Raw genomic sequence first — 24,203 nt, forward strand, 5'->3', positions numbered from 1 at the left:
GCACTCTGACTCCATATTTCCCTTCCACACTACCCTAGCAGAGGTTCTTCATGAGAGCCTAGCCCCTGCAGAAAACTTCTGGCTGAGCATCCAGGCATTTCCATACATCTTCCGAAATCCAGGCCGAGGTTCCCAAACCTCAATTCTTGACTTCTGTGCATCCGCAGGCTTAATGCCATGTGGAAGCTGCCAAGGGTTGGGGCTTGCACCCTTTAAAGCCATGGCCCAAGCTCTATGTTGGCCCCTTTCAGCCAGGGCTGGAGCAGCTGGGATGTAGGGCACCGAGTCCCTAGGCTGCACACAGCATGGGGACCCTGAGCCCAGCCCACAAAACTACTTTTTCCTCCTAGGCCTCCAGGCCTGTGATGGGAGGGTCTGCTGTGAAGACCTCTGACATGCCCTGGAGACATTTTTTCCATAGTCTTGCAGATTAACATTCAGCTCCTCATTAATTATGCAGATTTCTGCTGCCAGCTTGAATTTCTCCTCAGAAAATGGGATTTTGTTTTCTATCACATTGTCAGGCTGCAAACTTTCTGAACTTTTATGATCTCCTTCCCTTATAAAACTGAATGCCTTTAACAGCACCCAAATAAACTTTTGAATACTTTGCTGCTTAGAAATTTATTCTGCCAGGTAACCTAAATCATCTCACTCAAGTTCAAAGTTCCACAAATCTCTAGGGCAAGGGCAAAATGTCACTAGTCTCTTTGCTAAAACACAAGAGTCACCTTTGCTTCAGTTCCCAACAAGTTTTTCATTTCCATCTGAGACCACCTCAGCCTGTATTTTATTGTCCAGATAATTATCAGCATTTTTGTTAAAGCCATTCAACAAGTCTCTAGGGAGTTCCAAACTTTCCCACATTTTCCTGTCTTCCTCTGAGCCTTCCAAACTGTTCCAACTTCTGCCTGTTACCCAGTTCCAAAGTCACTTCCACATTTTTGGGTATCTTTTCAGCAGCACCCCAATCTACTGGTACTAATTTACTGTATTAGTTCATTTTCACACTGCTGATAAAGACATACCTGACACTGGGCAATTTACGAAAGAAAGAAATTTATTAAACTTACAGTTCCATGTGGCTGGGAAGGCCGTACAATCATGGCAGAAGGTGGAAGACATATCTCACATGGTGGCAGACAAGAAAAGAGAGTTTGCGCAGGGAAATTCACCCTTTTAAAACAATCAGATCTCGTGAGATTTATTCACTGTTATGAGAATAGAACAGGAAAGACTTGCCCACATGATTCAATTACCCCCCACTGGGTCCCTACCGCAACATATAGGAATTCAAAATGAGATTTGGGTGGGCACACAGCCAAACCATATTAGATGCATAGTTCGAAAATACTTTCTCTCATTCTGTGGGTTGTCTGTGTACTCTGCTGATAATTTCTTTTGCTGTGCAGAAGTTTTTTAGTTTAATTAGGTCCCATCTATTTTTGTTTTTGTTGCATTTGCTTTTGGGTTCTTGGTCATGAACTCTTTAGCTAAACCAACATTTAGGAGAGTTTTACTGATGTATCTTCTAGAATTTTTATGGTTTCAGGCATTAGATTTAAGTTTTTGATCCACCTTGAGTTGATTTTTGTATAAGGTAAGCGATGAGGATCTAGTTTCATTCTTCTACATGTGGCTTGCCAATTATCCCAACATCATTTATTGAATAAGATGCACTTTTTCCACTTCAGATTTTTGTTTTCTTTGTTGAAGATTAGTTGGCTGTAAGTATTTGGCTTTATTTCTGTGTACTGTATTTTGTTCTATTGGTCTAAGTGCCTATTTTTATACCAGTACCATGCTGCTTTGGTAACGATAGCGTTGTACTACAGTTTGATGTTGGGTAATGTGATTCCTCCAGGTTTGCTCTTTTTGGTTAACCTTGCTTTGGTTTGAGGGGTCTTTATTGGTATATAGAATTTTAGAATTGATTTTTATAGTTCTGCAAAGGTTGATAATGGTGGTACTTTGATGGGAATTGCAATGAATCTGTAGATTGCTTTTGGCAGTATGGTCATTTTCACAAAATTGATGCTACTCATTCATGAGCATGGGATGTGTTTCCATTTGTTTGTTTTCATCTATAATTTCTTTCAGCAATGTTTTATAGTTTTTCTGGTAGAGATCTTTCACCTTCTCGAATAGGTATATTCCTAAGTATTTTATCATATATTATTTTTTGCTGCTGTTGTAAAAGGAATTGAGTTATTGATTTGTTTCTCAGCTCTTTCATTGTTGGTGTATAGCAGTGTTACTGATTTGTGTACATTGATTCTATATCTTCAAATTTTATTGGATTCATTATCAGATCTAGGAGCTTTTTGGATGAGTCTTTAGGGTTTTCTAAGTATATAATCATATCATAGGCAAACAGTGACAGTTTTGACTTCTTCTTTACCAATTTGAATGCCCTTTATTTCTTTCTCATCTGATTGTTCTAGCTAGGACTTAAAGTATTATGTTGAATAGAAATGGTGAAAGTCATCATCCTTGTCTTGTTCCAATTCTCAGGGGAAATGCTTTTAACTTTTACCAGTTCAGTATGATGTTGGCTGTGGGTTTGTCGTAGATAGTTTATCATTTGTTACCTTGAGGTACGTCCCTTCTATCCCAATTTTACTGAAGGTTTTTATCATAAAGGGATGCTGGATTATGTCAAGTGCTTTCTCTGCATCTATTGAGATGATCATGTGATTTTTGTTTTTAATTCTGTTTGTGTGGTGTATCACAGTTTTTGACTTATGTATGTTAAACCATTCCTGCATCCATGGTATAAATACCAATTTATCATGATGTATTGTATTCTTGATATGCTGTTGTATTCAGTTAGCTAGTATTTCATTGAAGATTTTTGCATCTATGTTTATTAGAGATACTGGTCTGTAGTTTTCTTTTTTTGTTATTTTTTTTTCCTGGTTTTGGAATTTGCTTGATATTGGTTCATAGAATGATTTAAGGAGGATTCCCTCTTTCTCTGTCTTTTGGAATAGTTTCAATAGGATTGGTACCAATTCTTTTTCAAATTCAGCTGTGAATCTATCTGGTACTGGACTTTTTTGTTGGCAGTTTTTAAAATTACTGTTTCAAACTTGCTACTTGTTATTGGTCTGTTCAGAGTTTCCATTTCTTCCTGATTTAATCTGGGAGGATGTATATTTCCAGGAATTTATCCATCTCCTCCAGAATTTCTAGTTTGTATGCATAAAGGTGTTGATAATAGCCTTGAATGATCTTTTGTATTACTGTGGTATTTGTTGTAATATCTCCTGTTTCTTTTCTAATTGAGCTTATTTGGATCTCTCTTTTTTTCTTGGTTAATCTCTTTAATTGTCTATCAATTTTATCTTTTCCAAAAAACAGTTTTTTGTTACATTTATCTTTTGTATTGTTTTTTGTTTGTTTCAATTTCATTTAGTTCTTCTCTGATTTTTGTCATTTCTTTTCTTCTGCTGGGTTTGAGTTTGGTTTGTTCTTGTTCTCTAGTTCCTTCAGGCATGACCTTACGTTGTCTATTTGTGCTCTTCCAGAATTTTTAATGTAGGCATTCAATGCTATAAACTTTCCTCTTACCATCACTTTTGCTGTATCCCAGAGGTTTTAAGTTGTGTCACTATTATCATTCAGCTCAAAGAACTTTTTAACTTTCATCTTGGTTTTATTGTCAACCCAAAGATCATGCAAGAACATATTTAATTTCCATGCATTTGTATAGTTTTGAGGGTTCCTTACAGTGGTCTGGAGAATACTTAATATAATCTTGATTTTCTTAAATTTATTGAGACTTGTTTTGTGATCTATTATATGGTCGCTTTTGGAGAATGTTCCATGTGCCAATGTAAATAATATATATTCTCAGTTGTTGGGTAGAATCTTCTGTAAATGTTTGTTAAGTACATTTGTTCTAGAATATAGTTTAAGTCCATTGTTTCTTTCTTGACTTTCTGTTTTGATGATTGTCTAATGCTGTGGGTGGAGTATTGAAGTCCCTCACTATTATTGCATTGCTGTCTATCTCATTTTTAGGTCTATTAGTAATTGTTTTATAAATTTGGGACCTCCAGCATTAGGTACATATATATTTAGGATTGTGATATTTACTTGCTGTACTAATACTTTTATTATTATAAAATGTTCCTTTTTCTCTTTTTTTCTTACTGTTGTTGCTTTAAAGTCTGTTTTTTCTGATATAAGAATACCTACTCCTGCTTGCTTTTGGTTTCCATTTGTGTGGAATATCTTTATCCACCCCTTTATCTTAAGTGTATGCGAGTCCTTATGTGTTAAGTGAGTTTCTTGAAGACAGAAGATCCTTGGTTGGTGGATTTTTTTTATCCATTCAGACATTCTGTATCTTTTAAGTGGAGCATTTAACATTGGTATTAAGATGTGCATTACTGTTGTGTTTATTATGTTAGTTGTTGCCTTAATACCTTCTTTGTTTTTTTCAATTGTGTTATTTTTTATAGGTCCTGTGAGATTTATGCTTTAAGCAAGTTTGCCTTTGGTGTATTTCAAGGTTTAAAACTCCTTTAAGTACTTCTTGTAGTGCTGGTTTAGCAGTGGCAAATTCTCTCAGCATTTGTTGTCCGAAAAAGACTTTATCTCTCCTTCATTTGTGCAGCTTAGTTTTGCTAGATACAAAATTGTTAGCTGACAATTATTTTGTTTCACAAGGCTAAATATGGGATCCCAATTCCTTCTGGCTTATAATGTTTCTGCAAAGAAATCTGTTGTTAATCTCATAGATTTTCCTTTGAGGCTATCTTGATACTTTTGTCTCATAGCTCTTAAGAGTCTTTTCTTCATCTTGGCTTTAGATAGCCTGATGACTATGTGCCTAGGTGATGAACTTTTTGCAATGCATTTCCCAGGTGTTTTATAACTTCTTGCATTTTGATGTCTAGACCACTAGCAAGGGCAGAGAAGTTTTCCTCAATTATTCCCTCAAGTTTTCCAAACTCTTAGATTTCTCCTCCTCCTTAGGAACACCAATTATGCTTCAGTTTTGTTGTTTAATATAATGCAAACTTCTTGGAGGCTTTTTTTTTTTTTTTTTTTTTTAGTCTTTGTATGATTGGGTTAATTAGAAAGCCTTGTCTTTGAGCTCTGAAGTTCTTTCTTCTACTTGTTCTAGTATACTGTTGACTCTTTCCACTGCATTTTGTATTTCTCTAAGTGCGTCTTTCATTTCCAGAAACTGTGATTGTTTTTTTCTTTATGATATCTTTTTATCTGAGCATTTTTATTCACATTCTATATTGTTTATTAATTTCTTTTAGTTGGTTTTTACCTTTCTCTGGTATCTCCTTGAGTAGCTTAATAATAAACCTTCTTTTTTTTTTATGATACTTTAAGTTTTAGGGTACATGTGCACATTGTGCAGGTTAGTTACATATGTATACATGTGCCATGCTGGTGCGCTGCACCCACTAACTTGTCATCTAGCATTAGGTATATCTCCCAATGCTATCCCTCCCCCCTCCCCCCACCCCACAACAGTCCCCAGAGTGTGATATTCCCCTTCCTGTGTCCATGTGATCTCATTGTTCAATTCCCACCTATGAGTGAGAATATGCGGTGTTTGGTTTTTTGTTCTTGCAATAGTTTACTGAGAATGATGATTTCCAATTTCATCCATGTCCCTACAAAGGACATGAGCTCATCATTTTTTATGGCTGCATAGTATTCCATGGTGTATATGTGCCACATTTTCTTAATCCAGTCTATCATTGTTGGACATTTGGGTTGGATCCAAGTCTTTGCTATTGTGAATAATGCCACAATAAACATACGTGTGCATGTGTCTTTATAGAAGCATGATTTATAGTCCTTTGGGTATATACCCAGTAATGGGATGGCTGGGTCAAATTGTATTTCCAGTTCTAGATCCCTGAGGAATCACCACACTGACTTCCACAATGGTTGAACTAGTTTACAGTCCCACCAACAGTGTAAAAGTGTTCCTATTTCTCCACATCCCCTCCAGCACCTGTTGTTTCCTGACTTTTTAATGATTGCCTTTCTAACTGGTGTGAGATGGAATCTCATTGTGGTTTTGATTTACATTTCTCTGACGGCCAGTGATGGTGAGCCGTTTTTCATGTGTTTTTTGGCTGCATAAATGTCTTCTTTTGAGAAGTGTCTGTTCATGTCCTTTGCCCACGTTTTGATGGGGTTGTTTGTTTTTTTCTTGTAAATTTGTTTGAGTTCATTGTAGATTCTGGATATTAGCCATTTGTCAGATGAGTAGGTTGCAGAAAAAGCCTTTGACAAAATTCAACAACCCTTCATGCTAAAAACTCTCAATAAATTAGGTATTGATGGGACGTATTTCAAAATAATAAGAGCTATCTATGACAAACCCACAGCCAATATCATAATGAATGGGCAAAAACTGGAAGCATTCCCTTTGAAAACTGGCACAAGACAGGGATGCCCTCTCTCACCACTCCTATTCAACATGGTGTTGGAAGTTCTGGCCAGGGCAATTAGGCAGGAGAAGGAAATAAAAGGTATTCAATTAGGAAAAGAGGAAGTCAAATTGTCCCTGTTTGCAGATGACATGATTGTATATCTAGAAAACCCCATCGTTTCAGCCCAAAATCTCCTTACACTGATAAGCAACTTCAGCAAAGTCTCAGGATACAAAATCAGTGTACAAAAATCACAAGCATTCTTATACACCAACAACAGACAAACAGAGAGCCAAGTCATGAGTGAACTCCCATTCACAATTGCTTCAAAGGGAATAAAATACCTAGGAATCCAACTTACAAGGGATGTGAAGGACCTCTTCAAGGAGAACTACAAACCACTGCTCAAGGAAATAAAAGAGGATACAAACAAATGGAAGAACATTCCATGCTCATGGGTAGGAAGAATCAATATCGTGAAAATGGCCATACTGCCTAAGGTAATTTACAGATTCAATGCCATCCCCATCAAGCTACCAATGACTTTCTTCACAGAATTGGAAAAAACTACTTTAAAGTTCATATGGAACCAAAAAAGAGCCCGCATCGCCAAGTCAATCTTAAGCCAAAAGAACAAAGCTGGAGGCATCACACTACCTGACTTCAAACTATACTACAAGGCTACAGTAACCAAAACAGCATGGTACTGGTGCCAAAACAGAGATATAGATCAATGGAACAGAACAGAGCCCTCAGAAATAACGCAGCATATGTACAACTATCTGATCTTTGACAAACCTGAGAAAAACAAGCAATGGGGAAAGGATTCCCTATTTAATAAATGGTGCTGGGAAAACTGGCTAGCCATATGTAGAAAGCTGAAACTGGATCCCTTCCTTACACCTTATACAAAAATCAATTCAAGATGGACTAAAGACTTAAACGTTAGACCTAAAACCATAAAAACCCTAGAAGAAAACCTAGGCATTGCCATTCAGGACATAGGCATGGGCAAGGACTTCATGTCTAAAACACCAAAAGCAATGGCAACAAAAGACAAAATTGACAAATGGGATCTAATTAAACTAAAGAGCTTCTGCACAGCAAAAGAGCTTCTGCACAGCAAAAGAAACTACCATCAGAGTGAACAGGCAACTTACAAAATGGGAGAAATATTAAACCTTCTTAATTTATCTGGCAATTCAGAGATTTCTTTTTCAACTGCAACCATTGCTGAGGATCTGGTGTGATCTTTTGGGGAGATTATAGAACCCTATTATGTCATATTACCAGAATTGATTTTCTGGTTCCTTCTTATTTGGGTAGACTATTTCAGTGGAGAGGTCTAAAATTCAAGGCCTGTTGTTCAGATTTTCTTGTCCCAGAGGGCCATTCTTTGATGTGGTGTTCTCCCCCTTCCCCTAGAAGTGGGGTTTCCTGAGAGCTGGACTACAGTGATTGTTATTGCTTTTCTGGGTCTAGCCACCCAGTGGGGCTACCAGGCTCTGGGCTGGTGCTGGGGGTTGTCTGCAAAGAGTCCTGTGATATGATCTGTCTTTAGGTCTCCCAGCCATGGATACCAGCACCTGCTGTGGCATAGGTGGCAGGAAAATGAAGTACACTCTGTGAGAGTCCTTGGTTGCAGATATGTTTGGTGTGCTGGCTTGAATGCTGGTTGTGCTAGCAGTGAGGCTGTCATGTGAACACATTCATGACTTCTGATTAGCCAGGATGTTGCAGGCAGTGGAATTAGATGTTGTCTTCTCCTTTTTGTTTCTCAGATGATGGGTAGAACCACAAAACTCCTAAGAATTTCTATGTTTTGTGTTCAGCTACCATTACCAATTTCGTTTGTAAGCTTCCTTTGCCCTGTGACCCCTCCCCAATTCTGCTGGCTGTCTTCACCAAGGGCCCCTGTGAGATATAGTCATGGCTGGCTTCCCTAGGCTTGAGCTGGGGAGAGGCAGTACCTACAAGGCACTTCCTGCTGCTACTTCTACTTTTATATTTCATCTGACTCCTTAAATCTGTTCATTTCTAGGTAATGTTAAATCTTTCTCCCATGATCTACATTTTCAGATTTCCCAGTGGGGATGTATGTTTGAAGGTAGGTTTTTTCCCTCTCTCGCACTTTGGGAGGTCATGTTTTTTTGCCGGTTTATGGAATTTGCAGTAGTGTGTTGCTTCTTTCAAATGATCTGTGAATTCTTTTAGTTTTCCTGGTAGGTTCCTGCAATGGTGCTTGGAGCAAAAGATCACAGTATGAGACTCTACATGCTGTTCTGTCATCTGTCTATGTGGAAGCCGCACATTAGCCCTGTAACCTATCCTCATCTTCCCCCAATCTCCCCATACACCTTATATTTTTGTGTATTGCAATGTAGGTGCAATTTTTTTTCTTTCCACTAGATCTTAGGTTCCTTTAGGTAAAATATGTGGTTATTTCATTTTGTATCATTAGCTTCTATTTTAGGCCTAGAAATTTTCAGATGCCAAATACACTTATATATTTGAATTTTTTCCCAATTTTATATTAGTTTTATAAAAATATATTTTTCATGCATAATAGAAACTATATAGTATATATTAATATAGCTGACATAAATATTTCTGAAATATTGAGTACTTGACAGGTTTACATGTGACAACTTTATCAATGCATAGTTATCAGAGAGAAAAACTCTTTGAGAACATCAGGAAAAAAGTTGATTTTCGCATCCAATATGTGTGTGTGTGTGTGTGTGTGTGTATTTAGAATATACAAAATGTAGAAGTCAATTTCTACATATTTAAGTTAATCTTTCTGTCAACAAATACCAGGATTATACATTTAAATTATTTTTACTTTGTTGAAAGAATTTTTGATATTGATAAATGATATTTACTGAATGACAAAACTTAGTCCTTTGCATTTGCTATTCATTAAATATTTTATAGCACTGCAATTTCAGCAACATATTAAAATAAAAATCCTGACGTAGTGAAATAGACATCTCACTTTCTGAGGTATGCTTGCAGACATTTTTCACATACACTTTAATACTTCTATGGTAATTTACAGTTATTAAAGTGTTTTTCGCCCCCATCATGCAATGTATTGTTCAATCAATGTAGTTTTAGAAAAACTGCATTTCTTTCTACCTAGACTTCTAAGATGAGAGTACAGAATGGTTTCAGTAGGTTCAATGACTCTCTTTAGGATTTGTGCCTTAAGAATTTGGAAGCTTTCAAAGAACTTTTGTAGTAAAGGGAGAGGATAGTTTAACACATAGCAGCAGGGAAAAAAAAAAACCCCACAAAATTGTCATGTGCTCTGAGAACTTGGATGGCAATTTTTGGATATTCTACTATTGAATTAAAATAAAACTCTTTTAGATAATTATTTCTCCTACAGAACATGTGCTCCACAGAATAGTCAGATTGAGTAAATAGACAAAATATATATTGACCTTTGATAGCCATTTGTTGGTATATGATCTATAGCAAATATTCTATGTCACATCTCACAATTCATGTTTCTAAAGGACTGAAAGATATTTAAAAGAATGATAACCTTTCCCGACACACAAATATCAAATAGACTGGGCATGGTGGCTCACGCCTGTGATCCCATCACTTTGGAAGGCCAAGGCAGGGGGAGGGCTTGAGCCCAGGAGTTTGAGACCAATCTGGGCAACATAGGAAGATCCTGTCTCTACAAAAATATAAAGACATTAGCCAGGTGTGGTGGCATATAGCCCCCTCTGTTGTCCCAGCTACTCGGAGTGCTGGGTGGGAGCATCACTTGAACGGAGGATGTCTAGGAGCCATGATTGTGCCACTGTACCCCAGTCTGGATGACAGAGTGAGACCTTATCACACACACAAAAAATTGAATAAACACTTCAAAGATTTTTATTTAACTAAGTTAATAAAGATTGATAAGGTGTTACAAAAGAGAACACAGAATAACATGCATTTATACTCAGGTAAAGAATAATAAAATAAATTTACAAATGAATGCAAAACTTATGCAAATTATCAATGTCCACAGAACAATAGTCACTTATATTCCACTAAGCAAAATTTGAATTTGTATGAAAAAGAATTATTTGATATTTTATGAGCGTTCTAACTACTTAGAAAGTTATAAAACAGCTCTAAGATGATGAAAATAGAAACAAAAATTCCCCCCAAAACATACAACCAGATAGCTATACAGGCTGTGCTCTAAACAACACATAGTTTTCCCTTAAAGGGTCTTACTATATTTTGATTACTTCAATTATTTCCCACAGTCTTGTCCTCATGAACTAGGTACAGTATTTTGGTGTACAGCTAAGAGTATGTAAAGTGAATGAAAAATATCTCCAATATAATGCCTGAATTTAAATTATCATGCCATATTACTTGAGATTATAATCTTTGTCCCTCTGTGGTTAATCATCTTAAATTCAGTAAATCTTCATTTTCATGTTCTTGTCCCTATTCTTTTTAGAATTTTCTTTTGTCAGTGACAATAAAGAAGAAGAAATAAAGATATGTACTAAATTCCTAAAAATGGACACATTAATATATGAATTTTAGTTCAAATTGTTTACAGGATTAATAATGAGATTTATATTTAAGCAAAGGAAGAGGTACCTTCATATGCTTTAGAAAGATAAGCATTTTATTTTTCATTGACATGTAATAATTAAATGTGCAGTGTGATGTTTTGTTAAATGAATACACCGTATAATGATCAAATTAAGTAATTAGTATTTTTGTCACCTCAAAGCTTTGCCAGTTCTTTGTGGTGAGAACATTCAAATTTCTCTCTTCTAATTCTTAGAAATATATCATACATTATTGTTAACTATAGTCAGCCTACTCTGTGTTAAAATACCAGAACTTATTTTTCCTAACTATAACATTGTATCCATTATCCCACCTCTCCCCATCCTCTCTCTTCCTTCCCCTCCCTAGACTCAGGTAACCTCTATTCTACTCTCTACTTCCATGAGCTCAGCTCCCATGTTAACTACAGTACTTATTCAGAATAGTCAAGATAAGAAATCAACCTAAGTGTTCGTCAACAAATGAATATAGGAAATGTAGTATATATACACAATGGAATACCACTCAGCCATAAGAAAAGAATGAAATCTTGCCATTTGCTGCAACGAGAATGAACCTAAATATGTTCAGTGAAATAAGCCAAGCACAGAAAGACAAATACTGTATGATCTCGCTCATGTGAAATTTTAAAATGTAGGTTGGGTTCTGATCCCAAGGAGAAAGGAGAAACAAATGACAGAGTGAAAGTGCTTTGCATAATCTGGGAATTAACCTGGAGAAGAGGAAATGGTGGGAGTAGTCTACAGTTATGCCTCTATGACTATGTTATTTGTGCTTTGGATTCTAAGCCTTCTTATTAACCACCCTTGCAAAATAAAACATCAGTAAGCATTACTGAATAGATTTCAGTGAGTTCTTTTTTTTTTATTATAGTTTAAGTTTTAGGGTACATGTGCACAACGTGCAGGTTAGTTACATATGTATACATGTGCCATGTTGGTGTGCTGCACCCATTAACTTGTCATTTAACATTAGGTATATCTCTTAATGCTATCCCTCCCCCAACCCCCCACCCCACAACAGGCCCCGGTGTGTGATGTTCCCCTTTCTGTGTCCATGTGTTCTCATTGTTCAATTCCCACCTATGAGTGAGAACGTGTGGTGTTTGGTTTTTTGTCCTTGCGATAGTTTGCTGAGAATGATGGTTTCCAGCTTCATCCATGTCCCTACAAGGGACATGAACTCATCATTTTTTATGGCTGCATAGTATTCCATAGTGTATATGTGCCACATTTTCTTAATCCAGTCTATCGTTGTTCGACATTCGGCTTGGTTCCAAGTCTTTGCTATTGTGAATAGTGCCACAATAAACATACATGTGCATGTGTCTTTATAGAAGCATGATTTATAATCCTTTGGGTATATGGCCAGTAATGGGATGGCTGGGTCAAATGGTATTTCTAGTTCTAGATCCTTGAGGAATCACCACACTGACTTCCACAATGGTTGAACTAGTTTACAGTCCCACTAACAGTGTAAAAGTGTTCCTATTTCTCCACATCCTCTCCAGCACCTGTTGTTTCCTGACTTTTTAATGATCGCCATTCTAACTGGTGTGAGATGGTATCTCATTGTGGTTTTGATTTGCATTTCTCTGATGGCCAGTGATGATAAAAACATTTTTTCGTGTGTCTTTTGGCTGCATAAATATCTTCTTTCGAGAAGTGTCTGTTCATATCCTTCACCCACTTTTTGATGGGGTTGTTTTTTTTCTTGTAAATTTGTTTGAGTTCATTGTAGATTCTGGATATTAGCCCTTTGTCAGATGAGTAGATTGCAAAAATTTTCTCTCATTCTGTAGGTTGCCTGTTCACTCTGATGGTAGTTTCTTTTGCTGTGCAGAAGCTCTTTAGTTTAATTAGATCCCATTTGTTAATTTTGGCTTTTGTTGCCATTGCTTTTGGTGTTTTAGACATGAAGTCCTTGCTCGTGCCTATGTCCTGAATGGTATTGCCTAGGTTTTCTTCTAGGGTTTTTATGGTTTTAGGTCTAACATTTTAGTCTTTAATCCATCTTGAATTAATTTTTGTATAAGGTGTAAGGAAATGATCCAATTTCAGCTTTCTACATATGACTAGCCAGTTTTCCCAGTACCATTTATTAAATAGGGAATCGTTTCCCCATTGCTTGTTTTTCTCAGGTTTGTCAAAGATCGGATGGTTGTAGATATGCGGCATTATTTCTGAGGGCCCTGTTCTGTTCCATTGGTCTATATCTCTGTTTTGGTACCAGTACCATGCTGTTTTGGTTACTGTAGCCTTGTAGTATAGTTTGAAGTCAGGTAGCGTGATGCCTCCAGCTTTGTTCTTTTGGCTTAGGATTGACTTGGCAATGTGGGCTCTTTTTTGGTTCCATATGAACTTTAAAGTAGTTTTTTCCAATTCTGTGAAGAAAGTCATTGGTAGCTTGAATGGGATGGCATTGAATCTATAAATTACGTTGGGCAGTATGGCCATTTTCACGATATTGATTCTTCCTACCCATGAGCATGGAATGTTCTTCCATTTGTTTGTATCCTCTTTTATTTCAGTGTGTATGAGTATACCACTGAAACCCTATTGGTATAGATACCCCTATATGGTAATGTTATGTTTTAAAATGTTTAAGGGATTATAGTAAAAGCACATACCTGCGCACAAAACCCAGCACATATTTTGTACTAAATGTTTTATAAAACATACAATCTTAAAATATATCAAAATTGTATGGCTAATTGAAAGGGAAACTTTTTGCTTTAGGTCACAGTTATTAAAGTATGTGTATTTCAGGGAACATTAGTTAAGGATTACTTGAAGACCCTTCAGTGCAATATTTTTTGGTTTAATAAGATGTATTAGTCCATTTTCACACTGCTGATAAAGCCATACCCCAGACTGGGCAATTTACAAAAGAAAGGTTTATTGGACTTACAGTTCCTCACGGCTGGGGAGGCCTCACAATCACGGTGGAAGATGAAAAGCACATCTCACATGGCAGCAGACAAGAGAAGAGAGCTTGTGCAGGGAAACTCCCCTTCATAATACCATCAGATCTGTGATATTTATTCACTATCACAAGAACAGTATGGGAAAGACCCCTTCCCATGATTCAGTCACCTCCCACTGGGTCCCTCCTACACCATGTAGGAATGGTAGGAGCTACAATTCAAGGTAAGTTTTGGGTGGTAACACAACTAAACCATATCATAAGGTAAAATTTCTAAACCAGGTTGCAGAATATGAACAATAATATAGTGACATAGATTTTGAGATTTGACTTGGACTTGTATTTGGGTTCATAGAATTTGACTTGAAGTCTTAAATCATCATGATATCACTGTTAGCATAGTATAATATTATATAAGAAAATAAGCTTTACTTTTTTAAAGTTTAAAAATTTAATAAATGTGTTCCTGGAGATAATTCCTGGAGAAAAAATAAGCAATTTCAATAGAATCTTCTTTTTCTTTGCTTTGAATATTTTATTCTATAAATCAATATAGTACATAATTCCTTATGTCATAAGATGTGGAGGAAACATCTTTTCTTTTGTATTAACAAATATTTGTAAGAATTCAGAGGTGTTAGTCTATCCTACATTACAAAAAATGTTTGAGTGTCATTCTAAAATTTTCTACTTCTAGCTTCTGAAAAATAATGATTCACCTAGCACATTCATTTACAACTCGACTTTCTATAGAATCAATTACAAAAAAACTAACGGTAGAAAATGAGTGGCAAAAAGATTTTCATACATTGCTGAAAGATATAATTAGTGGATATTTAACTGATAATTAAAGAATCTAATTCAGAGGATGTACAAAGAAGAATACAGGTAAACTTTTGCAGTAGGTAACCACAGAGAATTGGAGCAAAAAAAAATTCGAAGTAAAGGTAAGTTAAAAACAGTTGCATCTACCGATTATAAGAATCAACATTCTTTATTCACTCACTATTCACTGCTGGTTGAAGATCAGCAATTTTGTAACAATACTTTAGTAAATTTGTAATTCTGTAAAAATTGAAATCTTTAAATTACTAAAATTTTAAATTATAAATGTATAAATTAGTAATTTTGTAAATGTAAATTGTACATTTGTAAATCTGTAAATTTGTAAATTAGAAACATTAGAAATTAATAAATTTTAAAACTTAGTAAATTTATCCATGTTTGAAGATTAGTAAATTTGCCTCTATAACACTATAAGGGAAATAAAACTTAGTATTCTGCTTCTCACTGAGTTGAAATGAGAATGGCAATCTAGGAAACTCTAGATTTTGCATTTGGGAGAGAGTCCCATAAAACTGTCTGTACCATACTGTATGCATTCTAAAATAAGCCAGTCTCAGAAATCCAGAGTGGAAAGTTGCTCATTTAGGTGAGAAGCCATCTGTGTCCTCTAATAATAAACAGAGTCCTGGGATGTGAAACACAACTAGAAATCACTGGATAGACAAATAGAAAAATATCCCCAGTAGTCATAGAGATAATTCAAAGAGAAATTTAAAAGTCAATGATATAAAACAAGATCAGGTATAAAGAACTAAAATTACTAAAAAGAATCTGTGAATTTGGAACTAATAAATGAAGGTACTAAAAACCACAAGACTTCTAGAGTGTGCAGAGAACAGTGAATGAAAAAAGTAATTTAAAACATAAAAGAAAAAACCTATATAGCTGAAAAGGGGTACAAAAATATATTAAAAGGGCCCTCTAAAAGTATCAATCCACAGGAAGAAAGCCCAGTCCAGGACTGTTCTAAAAATACTTATAATAAAGAATTAAAATAACATTATGAGTAGCATCTCACATAATGATCAGAAACTAGATGCATTTCCTCTAACATCAGGAACAAGGTAAAAATGTTCCCTCTTGCTGTTTCTATTCTACATCATACTGGAAGTCCTAGCTAATGTAATAACAAAGGAAAAGGAATTAAAACACGTATAGATTGTGAAGGGAGGAAAACAATAAGTCTGTTGGCAAACAATAGGATTGTCTATGTAGAAAGTTTCAAAGAATCAACAAAAATTTCCTGGCACTAACAAGAAATTATAGCAAGATGAGAGTATACAAAGTTAATATATAAGTTATTGCTTTCCTACATATCAGTAATGAATAATTGAAATTTGAAATTAAAAATGACATCATTTATATTTGTATCAAAAAATGTATATACTTAGCTATAAATATAAGTACAATTTCTGTATTAAAAAACCCCTGCAAAACTAATCACGGAGACCTCAACAATTGGAGAGGTATTCTATGTTCATGGATAGGAAGATTCAATATTGTTGAGATATCATTCTTCCCAACTTCATTTATAAATTCGTTGCAATCCCAATCAAAATTGAAGCAGGGTAGTTTCTAGATATTGATGAAATAATCATAAAATGTATATAAATAGACAAAAGACCTAAAATTATCAACAAAATACTGAACATGATAAAGAAATTTGGAGGACTGGCATGAATCACTTTGTAGACTTTATACAAGACTACTGTAACTGAGTATTGTATTGTTTTGTGTTGTATTGTATTGTATTGTATTGGTGAAAGAAAATAAAAGAGCAGTGCAATAGAATAGAGAGCCCAGGTATAGATCCAGCAAATATAGTCAAGTTATCTTTTACAAAAGATTAAAAGTAACTCAGTGGAGAAAGTATAGTCTTTTTAGCAAATATTTCCAGAATAAATGGAAAGCTACATGTAAAAATATGAAACTATATACAAGCCTTAGCCTTTCATAAAAATGAACTCAAAAGGTATAGGAGACTTGAGCATAAAATGTAAAACCTGTCTTCCATTCTAGACTATAGAATGTCTAGAAGACAATATAGTAGAAAATGTAGATGACCTTACAGTTGATAATGACTTTTTTTTTAGATGCAACACTAAAAGCATGATTTATGAAAGAAAAAGTTGATAAATTGGACTACGTTACAATTTAAAACTTCTGCACTTTGAAAGTCATTACTAAGAGAATGAAGAGACAAGCCAGATTCTGTGAGAAAATATTTGCAAAACTTTTATCTGATAAAGGACTGGTATAGAAAATATGCAAAATTCTTTAAAACTCAAAAGAAGAAATATACAACACACTTAAAAGGCAAAAATCTGAAATGATACCTCATCAAAGATGATATACAGATGGCAAAAAAGCATATGAAAAGATGCTCAACATGATGTCATTAGGGAATCGCAAATTAAAACAACAATGGCATATCACTATAAATCTATTAATATAGTTAAAGGTCAAAGCACTAACACCTCCAAATACTTGGAAGGATATTGAACAGGAACTTTCATTTATTGCTGGTGATAATCTAAAATGGTACAGCCACTTTGGAAGACTGTTTTGGAGTTTTCCACAAAGTAAGAACACTTTACCATATGGTCCAACAATTGCACCCCTAGATATTTACCCAAATAAGTTGAAAACTTATGTCCTCTAAATAGCCTGCATACAAGTGTTTGTAGTACTTTTATTCAGAATTTCCAGAAATTGGAAGTAACCAAGATATTCTTCTATAGGCCAATAAATAAAAAAACTGTGGAAAATCCATACATAGTTTATTAAAAGTTAATAAAAAGAAATGAACTATGCATCCATGAAAAGACATGGAGGAAACTTAAATCCGTATAGCTAAGTGAATAAAGCCTGCATAAAAGGTTATATACTATATAATTCCAACCATCTGGAATTCTGGAAAAGGCAAAAAATAGGGTAGAAAGATCAATACTTGCCAGGGTTTGGTGGGAGAGTGGAAAAGATGAATAGGTGGAACCCAGAAAATTTTTATGGGAGTCAAAGTTTTATATATAATACTATAATGGTAGATATATGACATTATGCATTTGTCTAAACTGGTACAACTATACAACACAAAGAGTGAACCCTTATGTAAACTATGGACTTTAGTTAATAATAATGTATCAATATTGGCTCAACCATTTTTGTAAATACAGCACACTAGTGCAAGATGTTAATAACAAGGAAAACTTCACTGGAGTGGGAAGAGGATATATGGAAATCTGCGTTTTGCTCAATTTTTCTCTTAACCTAAAACTGAAATGGGAAAGGTTCCTTTGTCCCTCTTGCACGGTGTGAGACAGAGGGAGTGGCTCGCTTCTTCAGTGCCCCAGTGCTCAAACCTCTAGGGGAGCATAGAGACAGGCAGGCTGTAGGGCTCCAACCCCATTGCAATGCCTAGGGGTGAATGTTTACAGCTCCTGAAACCCCAGTGGGCGTGTGTTACAGAGTGTTCCTTTAGTTTAGCTGTCCATAAGTGGCTTGTGTTTATCAGCTCAATTAGAACCTCAGCCTTATGACAAGGACAGGGGGCTTTCTGTATCCCAGGGATTTTTGCCCTGGTGTACCAGAAGAATCGGATCACACCTGGGCTTGGAGAATGAGTGCCAGGTTTTACTGAGTGGAAGTAGCTCTCAGCAGATGAAGGAGCCAGAAGGGAGATGGAGTGGGAAGGTTTCCCCTGGAGTCGGGCCTCTCAGCAGCTGGACTCTTCTCCAACTGCCCTGGCCAAACTCCGCATTGTTCTGCCGGTGGATGGCCTGCCTGAGTGCTGGTATCTGCTAGTGCTTGTGAGCGTGCTCTTCCACTGATGTGCTCCTCTTGACATCCAGCCGCTTGTTGTCTCTGCCTGATAGGGTCTTCGGGTTTTTATACGCACAGGATCGGGGTATGGTGGGCCAGGGGTGTCTTGGAAAATGCAACGTTTGGGCACAAAGGCAAGAGTGCCTGTCCTCACCTAAGTCCGTGGGCCTATGCCCGAGGGTGGAGCCCTAGCGAGGGACCCGCTTTTCTCTACCCAGCACTTCCCTGTTCTCCTCCCATGTCAACACTGCTCTACAAATAAAGTCTATAAAAACAAATAGTTAAAAAATAGACTCAAGTATCCTCAAAAAATAATAATCAAGTCAAGGCATTCGAAAATGCTGAGAAACCTTTTCTATCCTATCGAGGAATTATCCCAAAGAATTTAGAATTTAATGTGCAATAGAGATTTCTTCTCAAACATAAAAATTTAAAAAATAGAGATAATTTAGTGGCATTGTTTCAGATGAGCTCATATTTATTTAATAGAAATAAAATATTTTGGCTTCACTGGCCTTTGTTTTCTCACATTCTAGTGTCTTGAAACTGCTAAAGATGGTATAGTTGACATTTTTAAGGCATGTATTGCCCTAAGGGTGATAGGAGTTGATACTAGAGTTATGTAACAAAGCTAAGTAAAATACTTCATAAAGTACGCTTAAAATGCCTCATTTAATCAGAGTAATCCTAACAAACCTTATTTCCTTAGTTTAAGGGTATAGACTAAACTACTATACCGATGAGGACCACAAGTATGAGGCTTAAATGATAGAAGTTGATTAATATGCCATGTAATAGATCTGAGATAGATGCACAGTTTGTTGAGTGTTTTTTTTTGTTTGTTTTGTTTTTTCACACTTAATGTATTTTCCCTCTGAGTTTAAGGTGGCTGTTTTGGCTTCTGCCATTATATCTGCATTTCACACAATTGGAAGGAAGAAATAGCAGGAAACACACTTTCACATATTTAAGGAGATGACTGTAAGTGCCATAATCATTTCTGCTCTCATTTTGAGATATGTTACATGGCAAGAAAGCTGGAAAACATAGTCATTACCTGGGTAACCCTGTGCCTATGTAAATTCTATTATATGAAGAAGGCAAAAATTAATATATATACAGTCTGCTAAAAATCACCGTCATTGTGGAAATCTATGCCTACTTCTCCATGGTAGGAAAATTTTGTTTGACTGATTAGACATTTTGCCATGAAAATTGTGTTCCCAATGCTTCTGCTATGTGGTTCTTAAGACAAGAAAAGTATTCACCTTGGCTCCAGGGACCGTCTTCTATGAGAGCTTCCAGGTGAGCTTCCAGAGTTGGCATGATTTCCCACCAAATGCAGTGAGCAAATATTTCACATTTGGATGTGATATCATTGGTTGTCTTGAGCCAAAACAAGCACAACAAAACAAACTGTGCCCTGCACCAGGTCTTCAGCTCTTTCCCTTCTCAGAAAGCCAAGCACAATATATAATTAATGTTTTTAGAAACAGAAAAAATATCTGCAGCTGCCATTGCCCTCACCACAGGTAGTACACAATCTGATATTAACGTTATGTTAACCAGTTGTGTCAGGTCTTATTATAAACAATAGAAACAATCTTAAACAAAAACAAAGTTAATAATGAGAACAGAATAATTGCAAAGATATCAGAGGTTCACAGAATAGACAAGAGGATGGAGGGATGGGCCAGATGACAGATAATTGCCCCAAGGCAATTGTATTCTGAGTCCTACTCTGAAGATTTTAGGACTCAGAATAGATCTACCATTACCAAAAAAAAAAAAAAAAAAGAAAGGAAAAGAAAAAGATAATTTGTTTCGTGCTATGAGCAGAGATCTGAATTCCACTATTACTATAGTTTTTGTGTCACCAGTTCAATAGTAAAACATTAATCCAAGTCGGGAGATTTCTAGGGGAGACAAAGTATTTGGCCCACTTATTTTGCCCTTTTGTAAAAACTGGGGAATTCCCTTCAAAGAGAGGCATAGTAATAGTAATAAGATAGTATTGAATGTTGAATAGCAAAAACAAGTCAAATATGTGCTATCTCAGTGTAGTTTATGCTAAATTCAGGAACAAAATTATAATTTCCCTCTAGGAAATATTCCTCCCCCCTCTTGGAAAACTTGGACTTTCTCATTTGAGTTATAAATTTTTCCAGAGTCATAAATTGCATCACCACTTAAAGCTTTCCGTCATGAGTGAAAGTAGCCGGGGCTGGTGTTGTGGGTTGTAAAGGATTTTACTAAGACAGTTGTAGGTAAAGAAAGGCAGATTTATTAGAAAAAGTATGAAAATATGCTGCAAGGTTGCAGTGGGCAGCACGACAGAGGAAGAGCTGTCTGCAAACAGGCAGGGGCTGGAGGGAAGTTTTATAGGGTCTTGCTGGAGGGGCTACATGAGGAATAAGGTCGTGCTGCTGGGATAAGTGTGGAGTGAGATCATTGTGCCCATGGGCTATTTGTGATAGGTCATTTCTCAGAACAATTGTTCATTGTTCTTCCCTATCTGGGGCTCTCCCCAACCTACGGTTTATCCCCTCCTGGGGCCCCTTCCCCCTTGTTGCTTAATTGTCTTATCAGGACTTGACACTTTCTAAAAGGCAATATTCCACATCCCAGCAATTCCTAAGTGGTCCTGAGATGTTTTCATTATTTAGTGAGTGAAGCAAGAAGAGAACATTTTCTTCTAAGCCTTGTCCATGATAAAAATTTTCTAATGCCACTACCATAAGGGCCACATTGTGTCCAGCTTGGCACCAAATAATCATATGATGGAGAAAATAATTTCATGCTTTGAATAGCACCCCAAACATATCTGTGACAAGTGTGCAGACATCAGGACGTTTATAAATATCCCTTGAATTTGTTTTGTCTTTTTTAGCAAATAATTCTTAAGTTTCAACAAGTGGTATGCATGTGGTAAATAAAGGATACTTTCTAGCCTAAACTCCTGTATAACACAAGTTTCTAAAACCTCAAATCACTGTTCAAATATCACCTAGCCATTATTAAATTGCATTTGCAAAAAAAAAAAAAAAAAAAAAAAGAAGAACTGAGTTAATTATGACAGTGAAAGAGATCTAACCTAACCGCCTCCATCTTGGTTCTAACCTCTAAGCTGTCCTTGTTCATTCCCAGGCAGAGGCTGAACTAACCTTGAGAAGGAATTTAGTGTGTAGATTAACTTTGAAACAAAAGTGATATCCTTTTTCTGAAAGAAACCCTCTCCTTTCCTGAAGACCAGTCTGCCTTTATAGGACTAACAGATTCGCTGCAAGATTGGAAATTACTTAGGAGCCATGTAGCCTCTAGCTGCAAGAGTCTGAACTTCCCCAAATTGCTCCTGGGAATAACATCACTGTTGTAAAACCAAAGATCAGTGCTTGAGATATTACTGATGCACCAGCTGATGCCACCCAGACTGGTAATCTTGCTCAATCAGTTCTGTGATCCCACCCATGAATAGAAGACAGCAAGAACAACTCACTTTCTCACTTCCACCCTCTATGACTTTATCTCCAGTCATCACTCCCCACTTCCTGAGGCCCTGCCCACCAAATTATACTTGAAAACTCTGATCCTCGAATTCTTAGGGAGACTGATTTGAGTAATAATAAAACTCCAGTCCCCCATACAGCTGCCTCTGTTTGAATTAAACTCTTTCTCTTTTGCTATTCTCTGTCTTGATAAATTGGCTCTGTCTAGGCAGTGAGAAAGGGGAACCTGCTGGGCCGTTACACTTATGCACAAAGGTTTTAAAACAGTACATTATTCTTATATTTTAGATTTGCCTTAATATCCCCATGGAATAGTTCTTCACGAAGCTGTCAGTGTATCTTTAATTACATAGAATTTAAAGTTTTGAAGATACGACCAGGTAGTTTGAGGACAACCCTAGTTTTTGTTTGTTTTCACTTGTTGTTTTACTATATATTATATATGCTTACTGGATTTAGGAGACATGGCATAGTGTGGCAGGTGAGATCTCACTAATGGTTGAACAGGCACAGGCCTCCATAAAAGCTGCTTTAGCACTGACTGAGTAGTTAGGTTAAAATTAAAACTGAGAGGGCCAGTGCCCTCACATAAAGGCTAGAAAGTAACATTAGCCTGCCAAGAGTGTTGCCTGGGCCTCCCCTGGGCCTTACACCATGTCAAGATAAGAAAGGAATTCTTACATTCCTCATACCAGGATCCGTTTAGGATGAGGCAAGTTTTATTGAGGGTCTGAAGATACTCTCCAGACCTTCATACCTTAGCTGGAGACAAAATAAGGGTAATCACTCCCAAAATAAGGGTAAACCAATCCCTTTAAAAGCAATCCTCAAATTTGACATTTAACCTATTAGAAGCTTATTTTTTTCTCAAATTTTTTTTTCTTTTCTTTCTACAAAACTAAATCATGAATTTTCAGTCTGACCTTAGGTCTTTGACTTGACAATCATCACTGTCTGGCTAACAAAATAATATATGTGTATGTGTGCATGTAAAACCACAATGGCTGATCTTTCAAATTCTCTTTTTTAATATTTTCAACTTTTATTTTAGATTCAGGGGGTACACGTGCAGGTTTGTTACATGGGTGTGAACCCAAAGTGTCTGAGACAGGTCTCAATTTAGAAAGTGTATTTTGCCAAGGTTAAGGATGCACATATGACAGCCTCAGGAGGTCCTAACAACATGTGCCCAAGGTGGTTGGGGCACAGCTTGGTTTTAAGCACTTTAGGGTTACATGAGACATCAATCAATATGTATAAATATACATTGGTTCAGTTTAGAAAGGGGGGCTTCCAGATTATAGGTAGATATATGCTTTTAGACATTTTGGGGAGATATGAAACGTCAATCAAGATATGTAAGGCATATACGGGTTTAGTCCAGGAAGGTTGGACAATTCAAAGTGGGGACTTCCAAGTCACAGGTAAATAGGAGACAGATGGTTGCATTATTCTGAGTCTTTGATCAGCCTTTCATTGAATATACAATTTACGTGTGAGAGGAGACTAGAGGTATAGTCATTTATGGCTTACTCTGGCTCAGTAGATCTGCATTTTTACATAAGCCAAAGGGCAGAAGAAACAATTAGACATGTTTTTGTCTCAGGTGACCAGAAGGATGGCTTTCCCTCTAACACTTGTGAAGATAAGCTATCAATTTACATTGTCAGGGTGTGATTCAATATAACTGTGTTAGAGTAAAGATCTTGAGGCCTACAAGGAATTTCCTTGTGGGCAAATTATGAGGGAGGTATGCAACTTTTTTATCTTTGTAGCTAGCTTATTTAAAAATAAAATTTGAGGCAAGTTTACCTTGCACAGTTTCCAGTTTAGCTTTTCCCTTTGGCTTAGTGATTTTGAGGTCCCAAGGTTTATTTTCTTTTCACACGGGCATATCGGGTGATGCTGAGGTTTGGGGTATGAATGATCCCATCACTCAGGTACTGAGGATAGTACCCAACAGTTTTTCAACCCCTGCCCTCCTCCTTCCCTCCCCTCTACAATAGTCATCAGTGTCTATTGTTTCCATCTTTATGTCCATGTGTAATCAATGTTTAGCTCCCACTTATAAGTGAGAACATGTGATATT

Source organism: Homo sapiens, chromosome 1 (assembly GCF_000001405.40).
Source record: "Homo sapiens chromosome 1, GRCh38.p14 Primary Assembly".
In the NCBI taxonomy this organism is placed as follows: Eukaryota; Metazoa; Chordata; class Mammalia; order Primates; family Hominidae; genus Homo; species Homo sapiens.